Source organism: Homo sapiens, chromosome 22, assembly GCF_000001405.40.
Source record: "Homo sapiens chromosome 22, GRCh38.p14 Primary Assembly".
Classification (NCBI taxonomy): Eukaryota; Metazoa; Chordata; class Mammalia; order Primates; family Hominidae; genus Homo; species Homo sapiens.
The window spans coordinates 20,521,261-20,534,151 of record NC_000022.11 but is presented as its reverse complement, the minus strand read 5'-3'; the positions used below and the strand labels follow the sequence as shown (position 1 = coordinate 20,534,151).

General features: G+C 50.4%; 1 protein-coding gene across 14 annotated transcripts in view, besides 2 other annotated features; it reads right to left on the bottom strand.

The window, feature by feature from the left end:
• Window positions 1-12,891, bottom strand: part of MED15 (mediator complex subunit 15) — an 80,010-nt gene that overhangs the window by 53,468 nt on the left and 13,651 nt on the right. Inside the window, exon 1 of one of the 14 annotated variants that reach the window (XM_047441396.1) lies at window positions 9,786-10,401. The exons of the other annotated variants lie outside the window; for them this stretch is intronic. The gene's annotated coding sequence lies outside the window, so the exon portion shown is untranslated. Of the gene's footprint in view, window positions 1-9,785; window positions 10,402-12,891 lie in introns of those variants that run through there. 14 annotated transcript variants of the gene reach the window in all.
• Window positions 3,005-3,992: an enhancer, noted in NCBI's record as "H3K27ac-H3K4me1 hESC enhancer chr22:20884447-20885434 (GRCh37/hg19 assembly coordinates)". NCBI's record gives its function as "activates a minimal SCP1, AML or CMV promoter by ChIP-STARR-seq in primed H9 embryonic stem cells {active_cell/tissue: H9 hESC(primed)}" and the evidence as "EXISTENCE:reporter gene assay evidence [ECO:0000049][PMID:30033119]".
• Window positions 7,244-7,413: an enhancer, noted in NCBI's record as "experimental_62777 CRE fragment used in MPRA reporter constructs". NCBI's record gives its function as "activates a minimal promoter by MPRAs in K562 erythroleukemia cells, with activity observed for both the introgressed and non-introgressed 22:20881111 variant alleles {active_cell/tissue: K562}" and the evidence as "EXISTENCE:reporter gene assay evidence [ECO:0000049][PMID:34662402]".

Genomic DNA, 12,891 nt, shown 5'->3' with positions numbered 1-12,891 from the left:
GATGTGGCCAGGAGTCAGAGAGGAAGAAGGGTGCAGAAGAGTCTGGGGAGTGACAACCAGTTACACAGATGGGCTCTGTGCCCACCAGCAGCGATCAGAGAGCAAAGCCAGGCTTTGATACAAAAGCAGTCCTTTTGAGCTGCTACTGGCCGTTTTTGAGAGTGTCAGCAGACTGGCAGGCCCCAGACAGACACTGTCTTGGTGCAGCAGAGACACCTGGCACAGTCAGAGAGACAAGATCTAGAAACACAGCTTAGTGCAATAGCTCTGAGGTGGTGGGATGACCAGGTTGAAGAAATATGCTTGGTGAGCTGAAGGCAAGGTGGCACCATACACCAGGGGATGTACTGGCAGACGGGCCCTGTCCTGTCCTGGGTAATGTCACAGATGACATGGACACTGTGGGCACCGTCAGCTACTCAGAGCCTGAGGAGCATGGACCAAGCTGGAGGCCAGAAACAGGCAAGTCTTGACAGGCCAACACCAGGAAACCGAGTTGGGGTAAATGTCCAGTTCCACATGAGCTTCGGAGGGTCAGAGTGGGGCCAAGGAGCAAGGTGCTCCTCCGGCAAGGCGCTCCTCCAGCAAGGCTACCGCTCAGAACAGCAGCACTGTGCCATGTCACTCCCACATCTCTCCCACAGCATCCACCCAGGGAGGCCCAGCAGGTTTGGTGGCCAGTAACAGACCCTGTGTGGTTTTGCAGTTCTGACAACTGTATTTTTGAAAATGTCTTTGCTCCTGTTTCTAGTTTGAAGATCAAGTGTCACAAAATAGAGACAAAGCGAAAAAGAACCCAGGAACTCTGCAGCTAATCCCCCACACTTCCCTGCAGATGCCTGCCCTTTCCTCTCCAGCTGGCCTGGCGCTTTTCAGAGGCATCCCCTGCCTGGACATTGACTCCAGGAGGGTACCCATTTCACACTCCTGCTGAGGTCAAGTCCCCTTCCTTCCTCCCTTAGACCTAACACACCCGCTGCGGGAGGCTGCAGGCAGGACCCAGGCCCACCTTCAGAACAGCACTGGCTGCTCCCAAAGCCCCCTTCTGATCTCCCTGAGCTGGGCTCTGCTGCCATCCCCAGCATGCCTTCCTGAGCAGCCAGACCCGAATGGCTACTCCTCAGTCTCTGTCTCCTGAAAACAAAACCCTTCGAGCCACTGTCACGAAATGAAAGGAAACTATCACACAAGGAGACAGCCCCCAACATGGAGTAAGGAGCACAGCCTGAGACAAAGAACAGAGAACCCACATGTCACAGTGAGCTCTTCCCCCACACAAGCAAGCCGGGAAGACGAGGGCCTGTCCAGCCAGAGGAGGACAAAGAGCAGACTGGTGTCAGCTCACAAGGGAAGACCCTTGATGGCTGTCCTGCCACAGTCCTGTCCAACATAAGCAACAGGTTCACAAACAGTACAGGCCTATGAGGCGGCCACCAAAGAACCCAAGGCTGCCTGGGTGGTGCTCGCTCTAGCTGAGGAAGGGGGCTGGGGGCCACTCCCTGGTTGCGACCAGCCAGACCTCTGAACACAAGGACTGTTACCGGCTCAGAGCACACAGTCCCTTGCTGTGAACTGGGCTCCAATGCTCTGCCTTTGGCCATGGTCTAGCTGGTTGCCATAGCTATGTCTGTGTACTCAGTCAGGGTTCAACTGGTATCTAGCTTAGACTGAAGCCTCCCAGGGGACCGATTCATCATTACAGGCCCTTGGAGCTCCCCCACTAAGGGGTCTGAGGATGTCCTTACTGTCCAGAACTGTTCCCAGAACACAGTGTGTCTTAATGGCATTGCCCGACCCTGCCTGAGCAGCCAGCAGGGATACATCAAGAAAAGCTCTTCGTGTCTTCATCTCCCAGCACCAAGTGCCCATCCCAGAAACTTGGGAACTCCCTTCACTTTCTGACTGCCACCTTTAATTCTCCAAAGTTCAAATCTTTGCCCCAACTCCCACTGCATCTGTGGCAATTCCTCCCAAAGGGCCTCTGTCTCCCGTTCCCATTCCTACCCCCACGCCCTCGCCAGCTCCCCAGGTCACATGACTGCCAGTGAGCAACTGCCACTGAGTGTGGGAAGCAACCCAGGCCCCTGCTTGCTTTGAGCCTCGCTCCTCACCAGCAGAGCAGGCAGCCTGTCCAGGAGCCCACTGAGGAGCCTGCTCCTGCGCCTGCCCCACACACTCTCCCCAGGGCCCCAGGGATGATGACCTACTACCTGGCACATTGCCTGACTATCCCATCAGGCCTGTTAGGGCCTCCCACCCTGCTTCCACCCAGGCACCCCTGCTGTCGGCTGCACAGAAACCCTGTAGCCACCTCACCCATGTCTGTGGCACTTCCTGGAGGAATCTCTGGTTTCTGTGTGCCAGCCCCACTATACTAAGAACACCCTGAGAGCAGAGACAACGGCGTCCACTTTTGTGTGCAGTGGGCAGTCATCACTGCCAGGCACAATAACTGGCTCTTTTTAACACAAGGAGTGGTACTGTCATGCATTTTGATGGGACACGACGTGCAGAACGGAGAATCAGCGTGGCAGCCATGGGGGAATCCAGGCCTCAAACAGGCACGTCCTGGCAGTGGAGGCCAGGGTGCCTGGGAGAAGGCGTGTGCTGGGGCAGGCAGCTGGGCCTGGCAGGAAGCAGACAGGGGAGGAGGGACCTGGGCTCAAATTCCAACCTAGCCACTCACCAGCTCTGGGTCTTGGGAGAGGCACTCCCTCCCCTAAAGCGTAACCTCTTCATAAAGGAGGGGCTCTGAGAGGCTGTGGCCAGGACGAAGGTGCACAGACAGGGCCAGGCAGTGAGGAGAGGCCCACTGTTGGCCTGGTCTGCAGGGCTTCTGCCCAGCATGGGCCTGTTGTTCCTCACCTCCTTCCTATTCCAAATTGAGAAACTGGCAACAGGAGTCCAGTCCCAGTCCTTGTAATCTGAATGAGACTAAGATAAAGCAAAAAACTGGCAAACTGAGCTTCCTAGGGAAGGAGCACAGGGCATCAAACTTAAAGCCTGCTAAGGCCAGGGAGGCCTGAGGCAAGCTGCCCCGGTCTGCCCTCAACCCATCTGGCAGCGCCTCCCTATCCTTCCTTTGCACAAAGGGTGGGGACAGTGCCGACCTCACGGGTAGCCCTGAGGATGATAGTAGTTAATATTATAAGGCACTGGACATACAGGAAGTGCTAGGTATGCGTTAAAGAAATAAGTCAGGCAACAACCTGCCCAAATGTGCAATAGGATGCATCCCAAAACACCTCCGCCATGTGTTGAGGTTATTGTTGCCCCCTCCTCAGCAGACGATGGCCCAATGAGCATGTGCAGCTCCCTCAGGCAGAGCCACCCTCCCATTGGAGCTCTGAGTCACCTGCAGTGTACCCTGAGGCCAGCTCCACCGCCCGCAAGAAGGACACTCACACAGGCATGTTGATGAGGCATGAACTGGCCTCCCCACCCCAACTCCCGCTCTGCTCTGCTCCACGCCCTGACTCTTCCTTCCACAACCGCCCTGGTTCCCACCAAGGACCCTCTCCCCTCTCAGTGAGGCCTCTCCCCTGACCCCACCCTCTTTACCACTGCTCCCCCTGCCACACTGCCAGGCCCCCTTCCCTGGTCCAACTGCTTTCCCATTGCTGAATGAGGGCATGAATTCCCAGGACAGCCAGCTTCTCTGTCCTCTGCTGGTGTCTAAAGCAGGAAGGTGCGTTCCTCCCTGGGGCACAGATTCACCCTCCTGACCTCAGGGGGGCAGGATGATTCCTCTCAGCCGATTTATGTTCTGCTCGAAGGAAACTTCTGTGAGTTTCTTCTAATTTTCTAATTTTGAGAAACACAACATCTATCAATCAAGTGAACTCTCATAGGGCAGAATAAATTTTTGGCAGCTCCACTTCACCCCACCCAAGAAGCCTCCCAGTAAATTGCTGCCTGTGTGTGCAGCCTGCTTGCCCACCTGGGACAGGAGCCCACAGCTTGTATGTGGGACCCTTTACCCTATGTGTTTAAAAACCTAAATCACAGAGGACCACAAGACAACAGAAGGAGAGTTATACAATATCAGGATGATGGTTTCCTAAGCATGTCACCAGAAGCAGACACTATAAAGGAAAAAAGATTTTCCCATATTAAAAAAAAGATTTGGACTAGGTGTGGTGGTTCACGCCTGTAATCCCAGCACTCTGGGAGGCGGAGGTAGGTGGATCACTTGAGGTCAGGAGTTCGAGACCAGCCTGGCCAACATGGTGAAACGTCTCTACTAAAAATACAAAAATTAGCTGAGCACAGTGGCTCACGCCTGTAATCCCAGCACTTTGGGAGGCCAAGGCAGGTGGATCACCTGAGGTCCGGAGTTCGAGACCAGACTGGCCAACATGGTGAAACCCCATCCCTACTAAAAATACAAAAGGGCAAGGTGGTGGGCGCTGCAATCCCAGCTACTCGGGAGGCTGAGGTAGGAGGATGGCTTGAACCCGGGAGGCAAAGGTTGCAATGAGCCAAGATCCCACCACTGCACTCCAGCCTGAGCAACAAGAGTGAAACTCTGTCTCAAAAATAAAAAATAAAAATACAAAAATTAGCCAGGCATGGTGGCGTGCATTATAATCCCAGTTACTCGGGAGGCCGAGGCAGGAGAATCACTTGAACCTGGGAGGTGAAGGTTGCAGTGAGCCAAGATCAAGCCATTGCACTCCAGCCTGGGTGACAAGAGTAAAACTCTGTCTCAAAAAAATATATACGTAAATATAAAAATTAGCTGGGCATGGTGGTGTGCGGCCATAATCCCAGCTACTTGGGAAGCTGAGGCAAGAGAATCGCTTGAACCAGGGAGGTGGAGGTTGCAGTGAGCCAAGGTAGCACCACTGCACTCCAGCCTGGGTAACAGAGTGAGACTCTGTCTCTAAATAAATAAATAAATAACAGATATGAACCTCCAAGTTGAAATGAGGAACAAAGCCTGCACATTTAATTCCCTTCCATCTTAAAACCTGACTAAAACCACAGAAAAAAAAACCAGGAAGAATGGAAATGGTGGCCTCAACAGCCTTTTAGAAGCTGGAAAGCTGATGGCCCAGTGGTAACGTACACAGCAAGAGGACCAAGAAACCAGAGTCCTAAGTAACAGTGAGGAGGGGGTGCGCCCACCCAGTGACAGCCCTAGGTCTTTGCCAGGTTGAGGCCAGGCTGCACCAAGTGCTCTGGGACAGAGGGTGAAAGATATCCCTGCATCCCTCACTCCCCAACTTTACACTGTGGGTAGCTACTCCAGCACCAGGTGACCACAGGAGGTTTACTCTCTGGAAAAGCATGAAACGGATAGTCACTGGACTAGGGGGCCAACCCACCCAGTTGAAAAGGCACAGGTAGGACACTGAGAGAGGTGGGTTGTGTGGTCATCTGTGCTCTGGTCTAAGTGACTAGATCGATGCACGCTAACTGCCGAGACCCACTGGCCCATCAGCCTCCTCCATCGCAGTGAGCAGCATGCTGGCAGCCAGGTCTTCACCCACAGCCCAGTGTCTGGAAGACCATGCTCTAGGGCAGGGTCCCCAAGCCCTGGGCCACAGACCAGTACAGGTCTGTGGGCTGTTAGGAACCAGGCCTCACAGCAGTAGGTGAGCAGAGGGTGTGCAAGCATTACTGCCTGAGCTCTGCCTCCTGTCAGATAAGTGGTGGCATCAGATTCTCATAGGAGCACGAACCCCACTGTAAACTGTGCATGTGAGGGATCCAGGTCGCATGCTCCTTATGAGAATCTAATGCCTGATGATCTGAGGTGGAACAATTTCATCCTGAAACCATCCTCATCTGCCGGTCTGTAGAAAAATTGTCTTCTGTGAAACCGGTCCCTGGTGCTAAAAAGGTTGGGGACCATTGTTCTGGAGGAAGGACTCAGAATCTGCAGCCAGATGAGCCTTCAATGAAGTTCCCAGTCGACAAGCTCCACGTGCTGGAAGAGACTCCTAGGCTTTGGAGGGTCCCTCTCAGAGTGAGCAACCAGCCAAGGGCAGCCAGACGCCATAACATGGCCAATAAAGACCCCACAAGAAAAGAGTAATTTAGCGGTAACAGAAATTCAGCAAGAAGAAGGAAATGTAGAATTTATTAGGCCAGGTGCAGTGGTTCGCACCTGTAATCTCAGTACTTTCAGAGGCTGAGGCGAGAGGATGACTTGAGGTCAGGAGTTTGATTTTTTTTTTTTTTTTTTTTGAGACGGAGTCTAGCTCTGTCGCCCAGGCTGGAGTCCAGTGGCACGATCTCGGCTCACTGCAACCTCTGCCTCCCACGTTCAAGTGATTCTTCTGCCTCAGCCTCCCGAGTAGCTGGGACTACAGGCGCGCGCCACCATGCCCAGCTAATTTTTGATTTTTAGTAGAGATGGGGTTTCACCATATTGACCAGGCTAGTCTCGAACTCCTGACCTTGTGATCCGCCTGCCCTCGGCCTCCCAAAAGTGCTAGGATTACAGGTGTGAGCCACTGCGTCCAGCTGAAGTCAGGAGTTTGAGACCAGCCTGGGCAACATCACAAGATCCCATCTCTACGAAAAACAAAAATATTTGCCAGGAGTGGTGGTGCATGCCTGCAGTCCCAGCTACTTGGGAGGCTGAGGTGGGAGGATCACTTGAGCCCAGGAGTTCGAGGCCATAGTGAGCCATGAACACATCACTGCATTCCAGCCTGGGCAATAAAGTGAAAATTTATCAAAAAAAACGGTAGAATTTATTATAATATATATAAATATTATACTACATTGTATCCATTTAACAGGAATGGGTGCTATAAAAAGGGAAAAGTCAGATTACAAAAAAGGAAAAAGAAGGAGTTCTTGGAAATAAAAGCATGTTAGCAGTGAAAGGTCAAAGAAAAAATTGAGGAAATCACTTAGAGAGGAGAGCTAAAAGTAAAAGAGATAGAAAACAGGAGATAAAAGATAAAACTAGAGGCCCAAAGAGTGAACATTAAACACTCCAGCACAGGAAGTGTAGGGAGTGAGATTCCCCTGAAATGACTCAAAGGAACTTCCCAAGTAGAGCAGGACTTGGGTTTAGGGATCAAGACAAGTCATATGAGGCTGAGAGCTAGCACCTCAGGAGACAGAAGCACAAGCCAGCACAAGGGCAGCGCAGTGTAACATCATTTTAAATTCCCCAGTTAGCATGTCCCACCAGGGGGCCTAGATGCACTCAAACTGGCATGGTCTCCAGAAAGTTAATTCCCAGGAGTCCCTTCTCAGGAAGCTGGCAGAATGAGGGAATAAATCACAAAGGATGAGACACAGGATATAGAAAACAAGGGACCCAACAAAGGAAGACAACAGTCCCAGTCTGGGCAGACAAGCACGCTGAGGGCTGTCACACCACACCTGCGGCCACTGCCTAGAGGGTTCCAGAAGGGAGGTCCAAGAGGGTCACCGCCCACCTCCTTTGGGAGGCCGAGGTGGATGGATCACTTGAGGCCAGGGGTTTGAACTGAAACTGACAGCTCACTAGCACTGAGCCTGAAGATAACTGTACTGAGAGGCAACCGGAAAATAAAGGAAGAATAAGAATAGATACACAGAAAACTGGGCATAGTGTTGAAAAGGCAATTCTTTCCTAGGAAAAAAATAACAAGCAATTGCAGTACACCACTATGCTCAGCTGTGAATATCATTTGTGTAGGCAGAAAATGTAAACATTCATTACCGATTTATGCAGAAAGTAGAATACTGGAAGAATGAGGGAGGAGAAGCAGAGATAATGGCGATGGAAGGGAGCTACAGAGCAAGCCAACATAATTTGTAAAACGCCAAGTTGCAAAAGCAGCATGTGCCTATTACCTAGAATCAGAGGTATATGCCGGAAGAAAGCTCAGATGTAAAGGCAGTTGCTACCTCTGGGGAGAACTGGCAGAATGGGAACCACAGTAGTTTCTTGTCTTTTTACAGTTTATGTGATATATTATGTTGATAAAATTTAAAGTAATTAAAAATTAAATGAGGCCGAGTGTGGTGGCTCATGCTTGAGCCCAGGAATTCAAGATTCAAGATTGGCCTGGGCAATATAGTGAAACCCCATCTCTACAAAAAATACAAAAACTTAGCCAGTCATAGTGGTGCATGCCTGTAGTCCCAGAAACTCGGGGGCTGAGGTGGGAGGATTTCTTGAGCCCAGGAGGCGGAAGCTGCAGCGAGCCAAAATCGTGCCACTACACTACAGCCTGGGTGAAAGAGTAAGACCCTGTCTCAAAAAAAAAAAGAAAATTAAAATTAAAATTAAATGACAAAATGCACATAAAGAGTGTCGTAGAGAAATACTCAGCGAACAATAGCTATTAAGAAGGGTCACGTGGCCGGGTGCAGGGGCTCACACCTGTAATCCCAACACTTCGGGAGGCTGAGATAGGTGGATCACCTGAGGTGGGGAGTTTGAGACCACCCTGACCAACATGGAGAAACCCCGTCTCTACTAAAAATACAAAATTAGCCAGGCGTGGTGGTGCATGCCTGTAATCTCTGCTACTCAGGAGGCTGAGGCAGGAGAATCACTTGAACCCGGGAGGTGGAGTTTGCAGTGAGCTGAGATCGTGCCACTGTACTCCAGCCTGGGCAACAAGAGTGAAACTCCGTCTCAAAAAAAAAAAAAAAAAAAAAAAGAGAAAGGTCATGTTTGGCCAGGCTCAATGGCTCATGTCTGTAATCCCAAAACTTTGGGAGACCGAGGTGGGTGGATCACTTGAGAGGCCAGGAGTTCAAGACCAGCCTGGCCAACATGGCGAAACCCCATCTCCACTAAAAATACAAAAATTAGCTGGGCGTGGTGGCCCACGCCTGTGGGACAGGGCAAAACTATGTCAAAAAAAAAACAAAAAAACTCATGTTCACCTTTCTTTTGTTTTTGAGACAGGCTCTCTGTGTTGCCCAGGGTGGAGTATGGTGGCGCAATCAGCTCACTGCAGCCTCCGACTCCTAGGCTCAAGCAATCCTCCCTCCTCAGTCTCCCGAGTAGCTGGGACTACAGGCCTAGCTAATTTTTTAAAATTATTTTTTATAGAGACAGGATCTCACTATGTTGCCCAAGCTAGTCTTGAACTCCTGGCATCAAGCGATTCTCCCACCTTGGCCTCCCAAAGTGCTGGATTATAGGTGTGAGCAACTGCGCCCAGACCACTTTCACCTATCTAAACCTTCCTGTCTCAGTCAACACAGGGACAGTAAGTTTCTCCTCTATTAGCAATTTGGACCCCCAGGAGCGTCTCAAAAAATTGCCACAGGCCAGGGAACAGTGGCTCACACTTATAATCCCAGGACTTTGGGAGGCCAAGGCAGGCGGATCACGAGGTCAGGAGTTCGAAATCCCGTCTCTACTAAATCCCGTCTCTACTAAAATTACAAAAGTTAGCTGGGCATGGTGGCAGGCGCCTGTAAGCCCAGCGACTCCAAAAGCTGAGGCAGGAGAATCGCCTGAACCCGGGAGGCGGAGGTTGCAGTCAGCCGAGATCGTGCCACTGCACTCCAGCCTGGGTGACAGAGCTAGACTCCGTCTCAAAACAAAAAACAAAACAAAACAAAAAAAACCTGCCACATATTCCTTCTGCAAGTGGCCCCACAGTCAGAGTATGGATGGAGTTTGAAGGGACCTCAGGATGAGTGAGGCCAACGGCACAGGCAAAGCAGTTCCTCCCACCCCCACCCCAAGCCCCACCAATCTGAGAGGTGCCTTCTGGCTGCAGCTCAAATGCCTCACCACACTCCCAGCCAGAAAAGCCCCTTCCCTGTCCTCCATCAGTGCAGGGCTTGTTCTCACCCAGCCTTCTGACCTTCACTAGGTCTCTAGACAGCTACAGGGTGGCATCCCACACTGTCCTTGGACTTCTTCCAATCCTGCAACCAATTTACTGCCCCAGTGCCCAGGTGCTTTCATCTCTAAGGCAGGAAATGATGAGATACCGATTGTTCAGTCATCAATGTAACCAAAGCAAACATCTGGCCTCTCTATCTCTCAGGCAGCTGGGAGCACATTTGTCAAACTGTATCCCAAACAAACTGTAACTTTTTCCTTTACTGAAACTTCTACATTCTGGTTCTTTTACTTTTTAAAGAAACATAAAAGTGTTTTTTTAACAAGATAAAAATATATACTTCAGAATTTAACTCTCCACCCACATGTAGGAATGGGTATTTTGGTCCTGCAGAATGAAAATCTCGAATCATACCAATACAGGAGACTTCAAACACTGTACACCCCTCTGGGCTGCTTGATGACGCTTTCTTGCCTCTATCCTCAAGGTCTCTCAACTCCCAGTAAACAAGATCATTGAAAGAACTAACCTGCAGAAAAGGCTGCTGCCCTTCAAACTGTGTACTGTTGTCTAAGCTAGTTCAGAAGAATACACGAGCTTCCTTCACATACTCCAATCTGTTGGTTTGACTTCTGAAGAACCAGCAGAGTTGGAAAGGCCTCGAGATCTCTGTCCTGGTGCTGGCCTGGGGCTCCCCTAGGTCTCGCCTGAAAGTGTCCCATTCACCACCAGGCAAGCATGTGGCAAGGAGGAGATCTGCCAACCCAAATGCTGATCTCACATGGCTCTGTGGTATTTGGTGGGGGTGGGGAAGCTCGATCTTTTAGAGATCTGCACTCAAGTACTCACAGTTGAAATCATCTGGTGTCTGGGATGTGATTTAAAATAGTCCAGGAGGTGATGAGGAAGGGTGGGTGAAGCAACACTGGCCATATGTTGCTAACTCTCAAAGTAGTTGGGAGACCACTTTTCTATTATCTCTACTTCTGGGAACACTTGAAAAAGTCCATAATGAACTTTTTTTTTAAAAAAAAAGGAAGTCAAATGCTTATCTCAAGCCCGTGGGATGATTGTGCATGATCCACACCTCATGTGAACCTGGGCTGTGAGCATGCAGGTCCCAGCCAGACTCCATCCAGGGAGAGAACACAACCTAAGCCATGGGAAACCTATAACTCAAAACTGAACTCACAGTCTCAGCCTAGTTTCACTTTAAAAATACATGTGTATATATATTTACATATTTAAAATGCATACATATCAAGCTATAAGCACACACAAGACTGGTGGAAATATATCAATATGTCAGTAACAGCCAGCTCTGGAGAGAGTATGGAAAACACCTTCCTGTTTTTCAGTCTTCTACAATGTTATCCGGAATGGAACGAAGTACTACACCCACAAGTCCTGAAGGTACTGACCAAAACAGGAGGGAGAGACGGGACCGGGGCTGCTGTGACTGGAGGCTGATGGGGCTCCACCGTGCCCCATCCTCTCATCCCACAGTCTTCCTTCACATCTGCTCTGCCCACCACAGCCCTGCTCTGGAGTTCTCTGCTCTGCCACTTCTGCCATCCCCACCTAGGCAGACAGGTTTCATCCAGCCTCCAGGACGGCCCACCCACTTGCTCCTGCAGCAGGCTGCTCTTCCCAGGTTTGCTTCCCCCATCTCCCACTGACTGTTGGAAATTTCACCCACACCCACTCCCCACATCATCACCTTACACCCAGCCCTCAGATCAGTAGAGAGGCTGTGGCAGGAGAACTGGTGGAGTGCATACCAGTGCCTCCCTCCTCCCTTTCTCCTGCAAGCTCATATACGCATGCACACGGAATACGAGCATTCACACATGGAATCACCAAATCCTACCACTTATTTCCTTATGAGCTTCCTCCCTCCTAGATCAGCCTTTCCATTCCTTTTTTCTTTTTTTAATCATCCTTTCCCTTCCTACTGTCACTGCACCCAGTAAATTTCAGCGTGCATTCAAAATCAACGAGAGTGCCTGTTACAGACAGGTTCCTTGACAATACCAGGTGTTGGCAAGGATGTCCAGCAAGTGGAACTCCCTCACATTTTGCTGGTGGGAACGTAAACTGGTACCACTTGGGAACACTGTTCAGCAGAACATGCTAAGAGACACATCCTCTGACCCAGTCCTTTATTTAACTTCTAGGTGCACAGCCCAGAGAATTAAGTGCATATATTTACCAGAAGACATGACCAAAGCCATTCCTGGGGTTGCCTTCATGTAGCCAACATCTGGAACTAACACCAAAGTTCATTAGGCACAAAATAAAAGAGTTATCTGGAACAGAGTCCTCCATGGAATAACACGTCATAAACAAGAACAGGCTGGTCACGGTGGCTCACGCCTATAATCCCAGTATTTTGGGAGGCCAAGGCGGGTGGATCACCTGAGGTCAGGTCAGGAGTTCAACACCAGCCTGCCCAACATGGCGAAACCCCATCTCTACTAAAAATACAAAAATTAGCCAGGCATGGTGGTGCACGCCTGTAGTCCCAGCTACTCTGGAGGCCGAGGTGGGAGAATCATGTGAACCCTGGAGGCAGAGGCTGCAGTGAGGTGAGATTGAGCCACCACACTCCAGCCTAGGCAACAGAGAAAGACTCTGTCTCAGAAATACATAAATAAATAAATAAATAAATAAATAAATAAATAAATAAGGCCAGGCGCAGTGGCTCACGCCTGTAATCCCAGCATTTTGGGAGGCCGAGGTAGGGGGATCACGGGGTCAGGAGATGGAGACCATCCTGGCTAACATGGTGAAACCCCATCTCTACTAAAAAAAATACAAAAAAAAAAAAAAAATTAGCCGGGTGTGGTGATGGGCGCCTGTAGTCCCAGCTACTCAGGAGAATGGTGTGAACCCGGGAGGCAGAGCTTGCAGTGAGCCAAGATCACGCCACTGTACTCCAGCCTAGGCGACAGAGTGAGACTCAGTCTCAAAAAAAACAAAAACACAGGCTGGGCATGGTGGCTCATGCCTGTAATCCCAGCACTTTGGGAGGCCGAGGTGGGTGGATCCCCTGAGGTCAGGAGTTCGAGACCAGCCTGGCCAACATGGCAAAACCCAGTCTCTACTAAAAATATAAAAATTA